The following is a 14,421-nucleotide window of genomic DNA, read 5'->3' on the forward strand; positions in this document are numbered from 1 at the left end:
ATGATATTGCAGAGGGCAAATGGCCTGGAGCTGGATGTGGCTGTATGAGAAACTAAGAATTTCCTTCTTTTTGCTATCATTGCTTTGATAACATGTGTTTCTTACTGGAACTTGTATGACTCAAATACTAATATGTAATAATTCACTTCATCAATTATTCTGAGCTCTTCTTTAGAGTTCAAGTGTGTTTTACAATTATTTGTCTTTCTTATTTTATTAACCTGAATCTTCGGAAAAGCTGAATTTAAAAAAGTTGTTTTTGCTTTCTTGTTATTTGGGCCACATTTTTTTTAACGACTAATGATTTTTCAATAGTTGGATAGTTTGGGAAAATAAAGGTCTTTATTTTACACACAAAGGAAAGCATCTACAGTAATAACTAAATGTTTCATGGACATATATGATTAATGAGGGGGAAAGGAAAGGTACAGGATAGAGCTGATATAATCCTGAAAGGAGTGGGGCAAAAAATGCTGCAAGGAGGCCAGCTACTGGGAAGTCGTGCTGAGTTTCTATTTCTTAATTAGTTTGCAAGTAACAAAGGGAAGCTTTTATGATGGTGACGATATCATATGGAGTTACAAAGGGCAGGAAGGATATGAATAGGATTAGAAAAAGATTCGAGCTTTCAATCGCATTTGTTCTGCTGCTTACTAACAATGTGCCTCTAGGCCTGCCACCTAACCTCTCTGACATTTATTTTCTTTACTGTAAAGCAATTGAATGCAACACACTCTTAAGGCACTTTTCAGCTTTCAAGTAGGAAAAAAGACAAGTCTTTTCATAGAGGGTTACATGTCTATCACCAAGTATAATTTGCAAGATGGATTTGAGGATACTGGAAAAATAAGTCAATATTTGTAATAACACCCTGAAAACTGAAGAACATTTGGGAGTTAGCTGATCAAGGTTCTAGGCCTGGTTTTGAAGTAGTCAGTTACTTTGGGCAAATTTTCAAGTTTCTCTAAGGATTAGTTTCATTTTCTGTATGTGCCACTTGGCTTATATGGTCACTGAGTTTTCTATCAGCAATATTTGTTATCTCCTTTGCTTTTTTCTCCAGAAAAATTACTCAAGGGTACAAGTTAAATCTCTAAAATACACAGTATCACAATACCAGTTTCTAAAATATTTCTGCAAGAAGTTAAAAGGTTTTGAAAAGATATGCCAGAATGAGTCAACATACAGGTGCTTTTGCTAGGGTTCATTAAAAAAAAAAAAGAAACAAAAAAACACTTGCCCCATTTGAATAATGATTTATCAGGCTTTAGGAAAACTAAATATAAATCAAAAACCTAAGGAAAAATCGATTCTTATTTTCAGATCTTTATCTATTAAGAGGGGATGAAGGGTGGGTAAACGCAGGGATGTAATGGGAGTAGTGTGTACCAATTGTGCAAAATAACTAAAACAATTATGAAATGCTTACATATTCCTGGCCAGTATAACTTGAATTATGAATGAACCATTAAAGACAAAGATTCTTAATCAACCATTTATCTTTTCCTTTTAAAATGTAAGGCATCAAACTTGGAAGATCTATAACTATTTTATTAGACGGTAATATATAAACAAATGACAGTTCAGATAATATTTTTAAAGTGCTATGATCATTGTAACTTTAATCAGATAAAACGTAATTATTATTAACATTTTTACATTATAGCTGATTTGTCTAAATTCTAATTACAATAAAATATATCGTTTTATCTTATCAAATAGTTTTTATATTGAGAGTGAAAGAAACAGTAAAATAGTCAGAGGAAAAACTAGTGCCATACCCAAAAGTATTACTTCAGAAATTTACTTTAATATCATATTTATATTAAAATATTTTATTTGTCTCCATGGTATTTCTATGAGATATTAGACTGTTTGTCCCTATATCCCTATTTTACTCATGGAGAAACAAACATAGTATGTTTAGTAAATTTTTCAAGGTCATTCACTATGTCAGAATAGCGCTGGGAATCTAATTTATTATATTTTTCTTGTACAATACAGCACCTAACACAGCGCCCTAAAAGAGTAGGTATTCAATAAACAGTCATTGAATGAAAGAATTAATGGACAAACCATTCTGTTCTATGAAATCTAAAACATCTATCATATTTGCTATTTCTTTACTCAGTAAATTCAGCAGGCTGGAGGAGCAGTTGAGCAATAAACTTTATGCACTCTCCTACCCACAAGTTTAGATTGTCACCTGAAGGGGCTTTGCAAGATGGTATTGTCTGGTCATTCCTGAAATTATACACTTCCAGGATGTCCCACATACCCCATAAAGAGAGTCATTAATCTGGTTCATGTGACACTGGCTTTCGTGGTGTGAATGTGGTCCACCAGCTTTTGGCAGAGACCAACTTCTTTCACAAAAGTCTCCAAAAATGCATTATTAGTAATGAATGTATTACTGATACCTAGCCTAATGATTTTTAGTGACTGTTTTATATCTTGGTCCTAAAGAACCGTAGTTAGTGGCAATCCTTGAAAATAAATCACTTGGCTAGTATTGGCTCTGGCTATCTCAGGCCTTGCTGATGGTAATTACAATGCTAGAAAGGATAACTCAATTTATTTCCTGAGTTAATTTGTCATAAGTTCAGTTGCAATTGTAAACATGATAAAGGTCACAGAGGCATGACTTTTAGAGTTGATAAAAACAATGTAGTAAAGAACACGAGTATTTATATTACCAGGAATATGACAAAAACATAACAGTCATTCCCAGGGATGCACTGTCGAGTAGATTAAAAATTGTTATCCATGTCATTGGCACTGATGACCAGTTACCTAAAATACAAGTAAGACATCTCACGAAGGCATTTAAGGCTAAAATGAATTCCTTAAACTTTGATGGCATTCATATTTTGCCATTATGAGAAAGAAAAACATTTTACTTCACAGAAAGAATGTATTAAAGTGAAATGAAAATATTTTTATATTTGTCACCCAAATTTAGTGATTGATCTAAAATTTCACCCAGGTGACATTTTTATTAAGACACAGTCTGGAGAAATTTCAGAATTCCACATCTCATTTGCTAATATTTTAAACAAACGATTCACCAGACCTGACTAATTGAATGGTGTATTTCCACTGGACTGAATGTCCTAATTATCATTCAAGACATATCTTAAAGATTTATCAAGCATTTACTCTCCACCTTACCATGTCTAAAGCTCAGAGATATTTTGAGCTCTAAAAGAGTATCACAAGAAATTTATAGCAGTCTGTAGTACAACTATTACCCATTCTTAGAGCAAAGCCACAACTAAAATAGAAATAGACAAAAATAAAATAAAATCATTAAGCATCAACTTATTGGGTAAATTAAGTTTAGATACCCATATGATGCAAAAGGGTCACTTTTATATAAGCTTCCCCATCTTTTAAACTTAGAGCACAGTCTATGTTGTCATTAAAAAAATAATAGCTAACTGAAGCCAGGAATTCATTTTGCAATTGTGTCAATTATTTTAAAGATACCATTATTAAGTAAACTTTAAATTAGTTTGTGTACAACCTTATAGTGACTGGAAATAAGATAAATACAAGCACCCCCTCCCACCGCAGCAAACACACATAACAGATTCTTGAGACTTAGACCCTTAAACATGTCTGCTCATCACTCAATCCATTTGGCCACCCTTTCCGTCCACACCAGGCCAAAGAGCAAAATGTTTTCACAGAAATTCTCTGGGTTGCATATTCTTAATTGCCTGAACTACTGTGGACAAAACATCACATTTTTAAAATCTTAAAGCACTTGTAAGGGTCATACATGTGTGTTTACTGTCCTTGTTGCTTCTGTCCTGGAGAATTTGCTTGACCAGAGCTCTCTCCAGGGCGGTCTGCAGGAGTGAAAGGAAACTGAAATCCATAGCCATTGTACCCATCCAAGTAGACACACTGGAAGAAACTGATGGGACCTAAGGAACAGAGCATGACAGTTTGTTAAAACATGCAGAACATGAGCAAAAAAGCACAGTGAGGCAGTGCAGTGCAGCAGATAAGGTCACAGATTCTGCCAGCAGCCTCCGTAGCTGTTGGCAAGTTACTAAACTTCACTGTGTCTTGGAGTCTTTATGTATAACATCAAAACAACGAAAACCGCACAGAAATATTATGACAGTTAAATGAGTTACATGAGTTACATGTGCTCTTAAAATTCTTCCTGGTATGTAATAAGCCTTTAATAAGTGATAATAAAAATGGCCTGGCAGAGAAAGTCAAAGTTCTGATCATATAGACATCTGTTGATGTGCATAGCAATCATAGAGACATAGTCACAGGTTTCAAAATATGAGCTTATCAATATGCAAAGCAACAGACTGTGTGTGTGTGTTTTATAATGTCACAGAGAGGTGGTGCCAACATCTAGAAGTTTTATTTGCCCTTACTTTAGAGGCAAGAGCTTTCCTAAGGTGGCTTGGTTGCTCTTTGAGCAACAAAGGTAGCAGCCAGGTAGCAGCTCTGAGTAGAAAGCAAAACAGGAAAGTTAAGGGAGTGTGGTGCAAGTAAGGACTCTGGACTCAGTAAGCCGGTGCTCCCAGGTAGCAGCTTTGGTAAAAGATGGCGAGTTTAGCATCTCCTCACAATCTTGGGTGCCTACAAACTTCCAGTGTTTTCTATCCTATCCATTTGCATTCTGTCAACCAGCCATAGATTTTTGCAGAAGGCCAGGAAAGAAAAATCATAGTTAAAGCTAGTGGTGTGTGGGAGATAAAGAAGATGGCCAAATCCATATGAGACTAGGGGTTTATGAAGTAGAATAAAGCAAAGGATAGGAAAAAAGGAAGCTGGAGAAGCAACCAGGGAGTATTCTGATTCCATTTCCATGGGTCACTGGGTTTTCAGGGATGACAATAGTTTGAAGAATCTTGAATTTAGTTATCTTTTCCAATGCATCTCATCTGGAATGATTTCTCTTTTCTTCTATCTTCAAACCGAAGCAATAATACAACTTCCGTCTCTTCAAGTTTGTGGAGGTTATGGGAGCTTGGGGGTTAGGCAGGCTACAAGAGGGACAGTAGTAAAGCCGGCCCTGCACAAGGAGAAATGGAAATCCATTGCTAAAAGTAGAAGGGCCCATCAATGACAGGCTGCCTTCCAGCTGCTTATCAGAAGTGGACACTGTTTTGACACATTTATTTAATTGATGTTGAATAAGCTACTCATTAAAATATTATTATGACTGCAAATATTAGAGCTTAAATTAAAGGCTCATGAATATCAGGCTATAGAACTGCCTTCTTGTAAGACGAAGATAGCAAATATCATTTTGATGCAATAGATCCCCCAACTGAGGTTAGAATATTTGACACCATTTTACTAAAAGTATTTGCGTTTTGTTTTTAATTAAAATTTTTACTTTGAAATAATTGTAGACTCACATGTAATTGTAAGAGTTAATACAGAAAGATACCACATATCTTCACCTAGTTTCCTTCAATGGTAACATATTGTAAAACTATAGAACAATATTCCAACTAGGAAACTGGTATTGATACAATTCACCTGTCTCATTGAATTATATTTTAATAGTTATTTAAAATATATGAGATTTCAAATGTTTATGTGACATAGCCACAAATTATTACCAGTAGGTTAATAATTGGGAAAGCGTTGCTATATAAAATGAAAATATGTCCAGATTGACCTATAATTCTTTTTCTTATGGATTTTGTAATATTACTCAAAGTATCATAAGACTCTGCTTATTTCCCTATATTTCTCACAACCTTATTATATGAAGGATTATAATAAGTGTCTTATCTACTGCAGTAGTTCCAGCATCCAAAGAAGTACTTGGAACATAGTAGGCATTCAGTATCTGTCTAATGAATCACCTATTAATACAGAGTAGGAGGCATTTGCTATTGTAAGGGGCACTTTAGTAATTTCCTGCACAAAAACATCCAAAAAGCACTGGAGAATCAAGAGACGTCATTTCTTCAGACAAATATCTAGCTCTTTACTTTAAAAGCATTATGTGACACAAACTTCAGTTATACCTATTTCAAAAATTGCTTCCTTTATTCTGTTCTGCAATGACTTTAATGCAAATACAGATTTAAAATTTATTGCTTTACCATATGAACAAAAATGTCTAATTTGGAAGAACCGAAATAATGAGAAACTTGGGCATTGAATTTTGTAACTGCACATGAATATTGATTGGATTCTAAAATAAATGATCCCAAAGTTTGAATATTTAGAACCTACCATACATCTAGCAAAATCAAAAAGAATCTTGAATCTTAGAAGTGAGTTTCCAAGCAATTGAATTGCTAAAACCTATTTCTTCATTTTTTCTACCTGATATAAAAAAATTTGGCATATTACTTCAGCTGTCCTATTATAAAGCAGGCAGTAAGACACATTTAAGCATAGATTCAGCCAGAGTACTAAGGATCAGAAATATGTAGAAGGATTTGCGATAAATGCCACTTCAACCATTACTTGTAACTCTTCCAACTATCTGCCTCTTGCCTAACACAAAAGTGATACGCTTCTTTTTAAAATATAAATGACCTACTTTAATGTTATTCTTCATGTCTATGCTAAAAAATTTTTTCTTCGAATACTGGTCTTAAGAGAGTCTAACATTTTTACATAGATGTAGCATCTTTAATACAGAATGATTTATTACTTTTAATCTCATTATAAACTTACTTTTCTGCTTTGTGGGAGACACATCTTCAGTTCCTTCTAGTGGATAAAAAATATAAAAGTAAATAACTTGTACATTTACAACTTTTATATAAATATATATGGGACTGAGAATGTCTAAACAGAAGCACACTATGAAAGAAACAGGAGTTACCCTTTTTATAGTATACTCCAGATTTGTACACAGATTCTATTCATATTTTCACTGTAAAATTTAATAGGCAAGAGCCAGAGAGAGAAAGGGAACCCATGAAAAAAATGTCACGCTACAAACAATTGTTTAAATAGGAAAACTGGCCCTGATGTGTCAGATATTCATTAATGAGGATAGTTGACATGCATCCCTTTCCTGAGAAGGGATCTTTGATGCTCAGAATTACAATTTGGTAAGGGTAAAATCTGGCTAAAGATGAACATTTTAGTCAAAATAATCCCAAATTTGGAGGGACATATGTTTTTCGTGATCATCCTTGCCATGAAAGTAGAGCAGCAGCCCAGTATCCTGCATTCTTCCCTTTTCACGTCTGATTCACTGACTATTTATTTATTTTTGCTGTAGTAATATCCATCGCAAATTTATGTAGTGTTGCATAGCTTGAAACTATTTCTTTGAATCCCTTTCTTCCGATTAGAAGTTCTTAACTGGTATCCACGAATGGGGTTTTGGGGGTTTTTCTATAAAACATTGAAATAATTAGAAGTTGTGAGAGAGTGTGTGTGTGTGTTTGTGTGTACATGTGTGTTAGTGTGTGTGTTTCATAGAAAGTTAGGTTTACAGATCTTATCAATTTTTCAATTGGTTCTAGAGCGGTTCCCCTCAGAGTGTAATCTATATACCACTAGTTTCAGCATCAATTGATTTATTTATATAAATGCAGATTTTTAGGTTCTAACTCAGATATTTAATTCTAGGGAGACCTACAGTTGATCTGTATAAACATTAAAGTTTTAGAAGCACTGGTCTATGAGTAAAAAACCTATTAGGGTGGCTAGTCTTAATTCAATTTAAAAAATATATATATAAAATATAGTATTCAGAAAGGTGTCTTAATACAAGTGTAAATCTCAACTTTTATTTGATAAGGTCCTGACCTGTGTGTGTTTTCTCAAAGCACTATTTTCCACATTGTTGGTTAATTTTGGGCACTGGCAAAGAATTTATACTTCGTTGGCTAGAACAATGCTTAGGCAAATACTTATTGCCTGCAGACAAATTTAGAAGTGGAAGAGAAAATACTTTTTTTTTATATGCAAACTGTGTACCTGGCAAAGGTCTAATATCCAGGATCTATAAAGCACTTAAACAAATTTACAAGAAAAAAGCAAACAACCTCATTACAAAGTGGTCAAAGGACATGAACAGGTACTTTTCAAATGAAGACATACATTCAATCAACAAGCGTATGAAAAAAAGCTCAACATCACTACTCATTAGAGAAATGCAAATCAAAACCACAATAAGATAACATCTCACACCAGTAAGCATGGCTATTATGAAAAAGTCAAAAAATAACATATGTTGAGGAGCTTGCAGAGAGAAGAGAACACTTGTAGACTGTTGGTGGGTGTGCAAATTAGTTCAACTATTGTGGAAAGCAGTGTGATGATTCCTCAAAGAGCTAAAAACAGAACTATCATTCAACCCAGCAATCCCATTGCTGGATATAGCTGGAGGTCATTATCCTTGGCAAACTAATGCAGGAACAGAAATCCATATACAGCATGTTCTCACTTAAAGTGGGAGCTAAATAATGAGAAAACATGAACACAAAGACGGGAGGAACAGACACTGAGGCCTACCCAACGGTTGAGAGTGGAAGGAGAAAGAGGATCAGAAAAAATAACTAATGGATGGCAGGATTAATACCTGGGTGATGAAATAATCTGTACAACAAACCCCCATGACATGAGTTTACCTATATAACAAACATACACATGTACCCCTAAACCTAAAGTAAAAGTTCATTTCTTTTTAACATAATGCCTATTTTATAGCAGCCCTAATGAAAAAGCCAGGAACCTTTCAGAAAAAAAATCAAGTTAGCTGAAGCCCTCATTCTACAGATGGAGAAATTTTGTCCTGGAAATACTTTATGAAGTTCGTACATCTGGAGATCGCAGGTTTTCCTGACTGTTTGTCCTCTGGCTTGGGCTGGAAGAGTGCAGGGGTTGAGTCCAGCCTTCCATTTCTTCCTTCCTTCCTTCCTTCCTTCCTTCCTTCCTTCCTTCCTTCCTTCCTTCCTTCCTTCCTGATGGTGCTGCTAATATAGGTGACTCATCTCAAGTCTTCTTAATAAAATCATGGCATTCTTGTAATTCTTAATGGAATAGTGATTTTGAAGTATTATTCCTGTAGATTGGCAAATAAATGCATCTGACAATTGTAAATAAATCAATACCCAACTAGTGTTTTTAATATGTGAAAAGATGTATATTTTCCAAATAATGTTAAAAAGCTGTTTGCTTTAAAAATAAGCCTACCATGTAAATGTTGCCTAGAAAAGCTTAAGACTAGATCAAGAATAGCTAGGAAAAAAAAAAAAAAGACAGACAAAAACCTTATAGCTTTGAGAGAAAACTTGTAAATGATCCAAAGACAGCAAACTCACCTTTAGCTTTCTTTGAAGCTGGTACATCTTCAACATCTTCTAGAGTACAGAAAAAAGGCACATAGAATCACAGTCAATTTTTCAGTTTTCCCAGAGGAAGTATTGTATTTAAAGGTTTTTAAGAGTCACAAGATCCCTGAATCTACAAACTCAGCATCTACAGTCTCCATAAATAAGAGCTGTCTGACCAAAACAGGCACTTCTCTGACTTGGAGAGAGGATGTGGAGAAAATGATGAGTGCTGCACTATGGTAATCAGGCTGGTAAAGGTTACTTAGGGAAAAGGCTTGTGGTGACCTCCAACACCCACCCCCAGGTTTCCCTCCTCCTCTGACTCCTAAAGCTCCTTTCAAAAATCATAATCATTTATAGAATTTAGGAAAGTTAAGGTAAATGGTTTCACGCATACAGCCTAGATAAAGAGATCAGTGTCTACCCACACAATTTATTAGCAGATTGATTAGATTTTAGCCTTTTTGACAATTCTAAAAAGCCCAGAAATAAACCCATGCACATACATGAGTCAACTAATCTTTGAAAAAGGTACCAAGAATAAACAATGGGGGAAAGATAGTCTCTTCAATATATACTGTTGGGAAAACTGGATATCTATATGCAAAAGGATGAAAGTGGACCTTTATCTTCCACCACCCCAAAATCAATTCAAAATGGATTTAAAGACTTAAATGTAAAACTGAAACACTTTTAAAAGTAAGCACTGGGGAAGAGCTTCTTAACATTGGTATTGGCAATGATTTTATGAATCTGACACTAAAAGTATAGGCAACAAAAGCAAAAATAAACGATTGGAACTATATCACACTAAAATGTTTGTGTACAGCAAAGGAAACAATGAACAAAATGAAAAGGCAAATTATGAAATGGGAGAAAATATTTGCAAGCCATATATCCAAAGGAGGTTGATACCTAAAATATATAAGACATTGATACAACTCAATAACAAAAAACAAATAAATGGGCAAAGGATCTGAACAGACACTTTTCCAAAGACATACAAATGACCAACAGGCACGTGGAAAGATGCCTTATATTATTAATTATCATGAAATGAAATAAAACCACAATGAGATATTACCTCACATCTGTTAGACTAGTGATTATCAAAAAGTCAAATGAGATGTGCTGGTGAGGATTTAAGAGAAAAGGGAACTCTTGTTCACTTTTGATGGGAATGTAAATTGGTATTGCCATTATAGAAAGCAGTATGGAGGTTCCTCAAAAATTTGTTTGTTTATTTATTTATTTTACCACTAGACAATAGTCATCCTCAACATATTTAAGAAGAAGCTACCATATGATCCAGCAATTTCACTTCTGGGTATATATCCAAATATTTATCAAATATATTGTATGCTTGAAACTTTCTAAGAGAGTAGATCTTAAATGTTCTCACCACACAGACACACACACACACACACACATACACACACATACACACACACAGAATGGTGGTAACTACGTGAGGTGATGGCCATGTTAATTAGCTTGATTTTGGTAATCATTTCATAATGTATATGTATATCAAAATATCACATTGTATATCAAATATATATATAATTTTTATTTCTCACTTATATCTCAATAAAATTAGTGGGGAAAGGAAGACACTACATTTGAACTAAAGCTCAAATACATACACAATGACTCTTAAGTTGTATTGTGTAAATCACTTGGTCTTTTCTGCATTCAACTTACAAGCACATATTGGAATAATGTGGAAGTAATTTTAAGTCTGAGGCAATTCTAATGCAATATAACGGAATGATGCTTTAATTTTTAACATTTGAAATTATCTGAAAGAAGGTCAGTTTTGTCTTATTTATTTAGATTTTGCATACTAACTGTTCACTAATAAATGAAAAAGGGGTAAGATAGGGTCAGTATGCAAATTTCGTCTAACAGGAAAGCAATGTGACCTTTATAGAAAAATGCTATTATGTAGAAGAACACAACAGAAAAAGAAACAAAATTACTAGAATTTTTTTTACTATATATTATTAAACTTTTGATCTGGTCAGTTGTAAATAATATTTAAACATAGGTTTAACTCAATTAAATACTGGATAAAATGACCATGGTCTTGAACTGCTTAATCAACTGCTATAAATAATGAAACAGTACAAACTGTTATATGATGTTGTGAAATAACTTAATATCTATATTTTAAAAATGATGTCAGTTCCTAAACAAATCAAATAATATCTTAATTGTGTAATAAGGTCCTATTAATTCCTATGAAAGTTCTGTACAAAAATAAAATGAGGCAAAGTCCGTGTCCAAAAGGAACATATATTTTATTTTTGTAGATTATAGCACACTTGAAACTTATTCTTTGGATCCATTTATTACCACTAGAAAAATAAATACAAATGGAAGGAATAAAGACCTCAGTGTCTTCAGATTCTATATTCTGATCCAGCATCAACTGGCTATAAGTGACAAAAGCTGGCAAGAGCTGAGTCACATGTCAATCGCTCAGGAGACAGAAGCACAAGAAAGTAAACGGCAAACCTAGGACAGTTGCTATAGAGATGCATTTTCTGTGGAAGAGACTTAGCAGCAAACATTTACAGAACTAGGAATAAAATTCAAGAAAGGAATAAGGCACTTACTGTCTACTTATTCTTACAACTTGCACGTTGAGTGAGTGGTAGTTTTGATAAAACAAATATTTGACTCTGAGAAGGTAGAATCATGGCAGTGAAAGGAGTGTCAAAATGTGCCAATGAAATTTTAAAGAGTGACCTGCTTTGTCGGACTGTCAGGAAAATGTTTAATGAAGGAAGTAAAATTTGAAATGGGACTTATAATATTTTCAAGAAGGAGATGCCAAAATTAAAGTGAGGGCAACAATATGAAAAAAGGCTAGAGACAGCGAAGGACAGAGATATTCAGGGAGTAGAGGAGACGTTCTGGAAAACTTGGATAAGATTATCATGTGGAACATCTTATACATCAGGCTAAGTACCCTCAACTAAATTTCATAGCTAGTCAAGGTTGCTCAAGAGACAAATAATGTTTTAGAGATGTACTTGGTAGAAATAAATAAGACTAGAGCATGAGAAAATGAATGCAGAGAATGCAATTTGGCAAGTGTTCTAATAGCACAGAAATAGTACATTCTCCAAGTAGGAGTCACTGAAGGAGTTAAATACAAAAAAAGGCTTTGCCAAAAGAATGAAATAGAACTAAATACAAGTAAGAACAAGAGATTGGTACTATAAGGAAAATAACGATATGTTATTTGAGTTTGGAGAAAGACAGTGGTGCCACTCCCAACTACAATGAAGTCCCTAGGGGACACTGATATTTGCTGGGGATAATGAAAAGTTCAATTCTCTATGGGTTGAACTGTGGTGCTAGGCCAGTCATGCAGTTGCAAATGCTTAGTAGGAAACAAGACAGAGCTGGCAAGATGTCTGAAAAGGTTAGAAGTGATATGCATCAAGTTAATGGGCAAAACTCAGTAAATTGTGAGATCATCACTTTTAATTTTTGCAAAATAGTTAATATTTCTTAAGATTTTCTACATGCTAGGCCCTATTAAGTTATTTCATATGTGTTAACACGTTTGATCCTGAACAACAACCATATGAGGCAAGGACTTTTTTGTTTGTTTGTTTGTTTGTTTGTTTGTTTTTGTTTGTTTTTTGAGATAAGATCTCACTCTGTCACCCAGGGTGGAGTGCAATGACGCCATCCTGGCTCACTGCAACCTCCGAGGTGAGGACTTTTATACTGAATCTACTGTACAAATAGAGGAGAGAGAGGTCCTGCCCAAGGTCACAAAACTCATGAGTGGCAGAGACAGAACAAGAACATAATCCAAATCTCCTATATCAGGGCCTCTTGAAAGAGTGTTGAAATTTATCCCATGAATAGTACACCTGCTATGTGCCAGCCACTGTTCTAAACATAATCCAAATCTCCTATATCAGGGCCTCTTGAAAGAGTGTTGAAATTTATCCCATGAATAGTACACCTGCTATGTGCCAGCCACTGTTCTAAGCACTTTATAAATGTTAACACTTTTCACCTCCTCAGAATATCTGTGAGGAATATACTCTTATTGTTCCTATTTTATAGGTGGGACAATTAAAAATCAGAGAGATTCAATGTCTCAGAGCTATAAGAAGTGAAAGAACTGGTTTTTAAGACTATGGCATTCTGGTTCCAGAGATGGTGCTGTTAATCACTAAGCCATTCTGCCTGCATTAGTTTGTTTTCATACTGCCATAAAGAACTGCCCAAGATGGGTAATTTATAAAGGAAAGAGATTTAATTGACTCACATTTCAGCCTGGCTGAAGAGGCCTCAGGAAACTTACATCACGGCAGAAACAGAAGTCAACGTGTCCTTCTTCACATGGTGGTAGGGAGAAGAAGAATGAGAACTGAGCAAAGGGGACAAACCCTTTATAAAACCCTCAGATCTCCTGAGAACGTACTCACTATTGTGAGAATAGCATGGAGGGACTGCTCCCTTGATTCAATTACCTCCCACCAGGTCCCTCCCACAACATGTGGGGATATGGAAATATAGTTCAAGATGAGATTTGGGTGGGGACACAGCCAAACCATATCACTGCCTCTGGAGGATGAACTTCTAAACCCACTTCTCTCTGATTCTAGTACCCATGCATTATGTTGCCTAACATACCTGCTGGCAGGCTCTGACAGAGTCAAGTTATGCATGAGCCACACACACACTTGTGCAGAACAGAAATGAAGGAGAAGGCATTCCACTAACCCCCTTAAAATGAGAGGGGGTGCTAAATGTGTCCCTCTGCACTTCTAACAATCTACTCTCCCTCAGTGGCGATGAAAAGTTACTTAGTTGTCTTTGAAAATAAAGACAATGAAGAGGTAAGCATAATATTTTTTCTGTTTGCCTAAACATTATAAGTAGTGTAAGCTACAGTTATTTCTAACATTGAAGAATAAAATTGTACTATCTTGACTTTCAAATTCTAGAGTTCATTCTTCGCTTACATAGAAACAGATTCCAGAGGAATCAGAGATAGCAGTGAATCCATCCTCCTATCCAAGCAGTTGTCTGCACTATAATAGAGTCATGAAAAAATGGGCCATCTTGTCTGTATGGCTGTCATTTTAAT

The 14,421-nt window shown here is 34.8% G+C and overlaps 1 protein-coding gene across 1 annotated transcript in view; it reads right to left on the reverse strand.

Annotated features, from left to right (window-relative positions):
• TRDN (triadin) overlaps positions 1,531 to 14,421 on the reverse strand; it is a 420,612-nt gene continuing 407,721 nt past the window's right edge. Inside the window, exons 39-41 of the mRNA NM_006073.4 lie at positions 9,285 to 9,323; positions 6,679 to 6,714; positions 1,531 to 3,932 (exon numbers count right to left, since the gene is read on the reverse strand). Coding sequence (NP_006064.2) covers positions 3,793 to 3,932; positions 6,679 to 6,714; positions 9,285 to 9,323 — 215 coding nt within the window. The 3' untranslated portion in view covers positions 1,531 to 3,792. The remainder of the gene's footprint in view (positions 3,933 to 6,678; positions 6,715 to 9,284; positions 9,324 to 14,421) is intronic.

Source organism: Homo sapiens, chromosome 6 (assembly GCF_000001405.40).
Source record: "Homo sapiens chromosome 6, GRCh38.p14 Primary Assembly".
In the NCBI taxonomy this organism is placed as follows: Eukaryota; Metazoa; Chordata; class Mammalia; order Primates; family Hominidae; genus Homo; species Homo sapiens.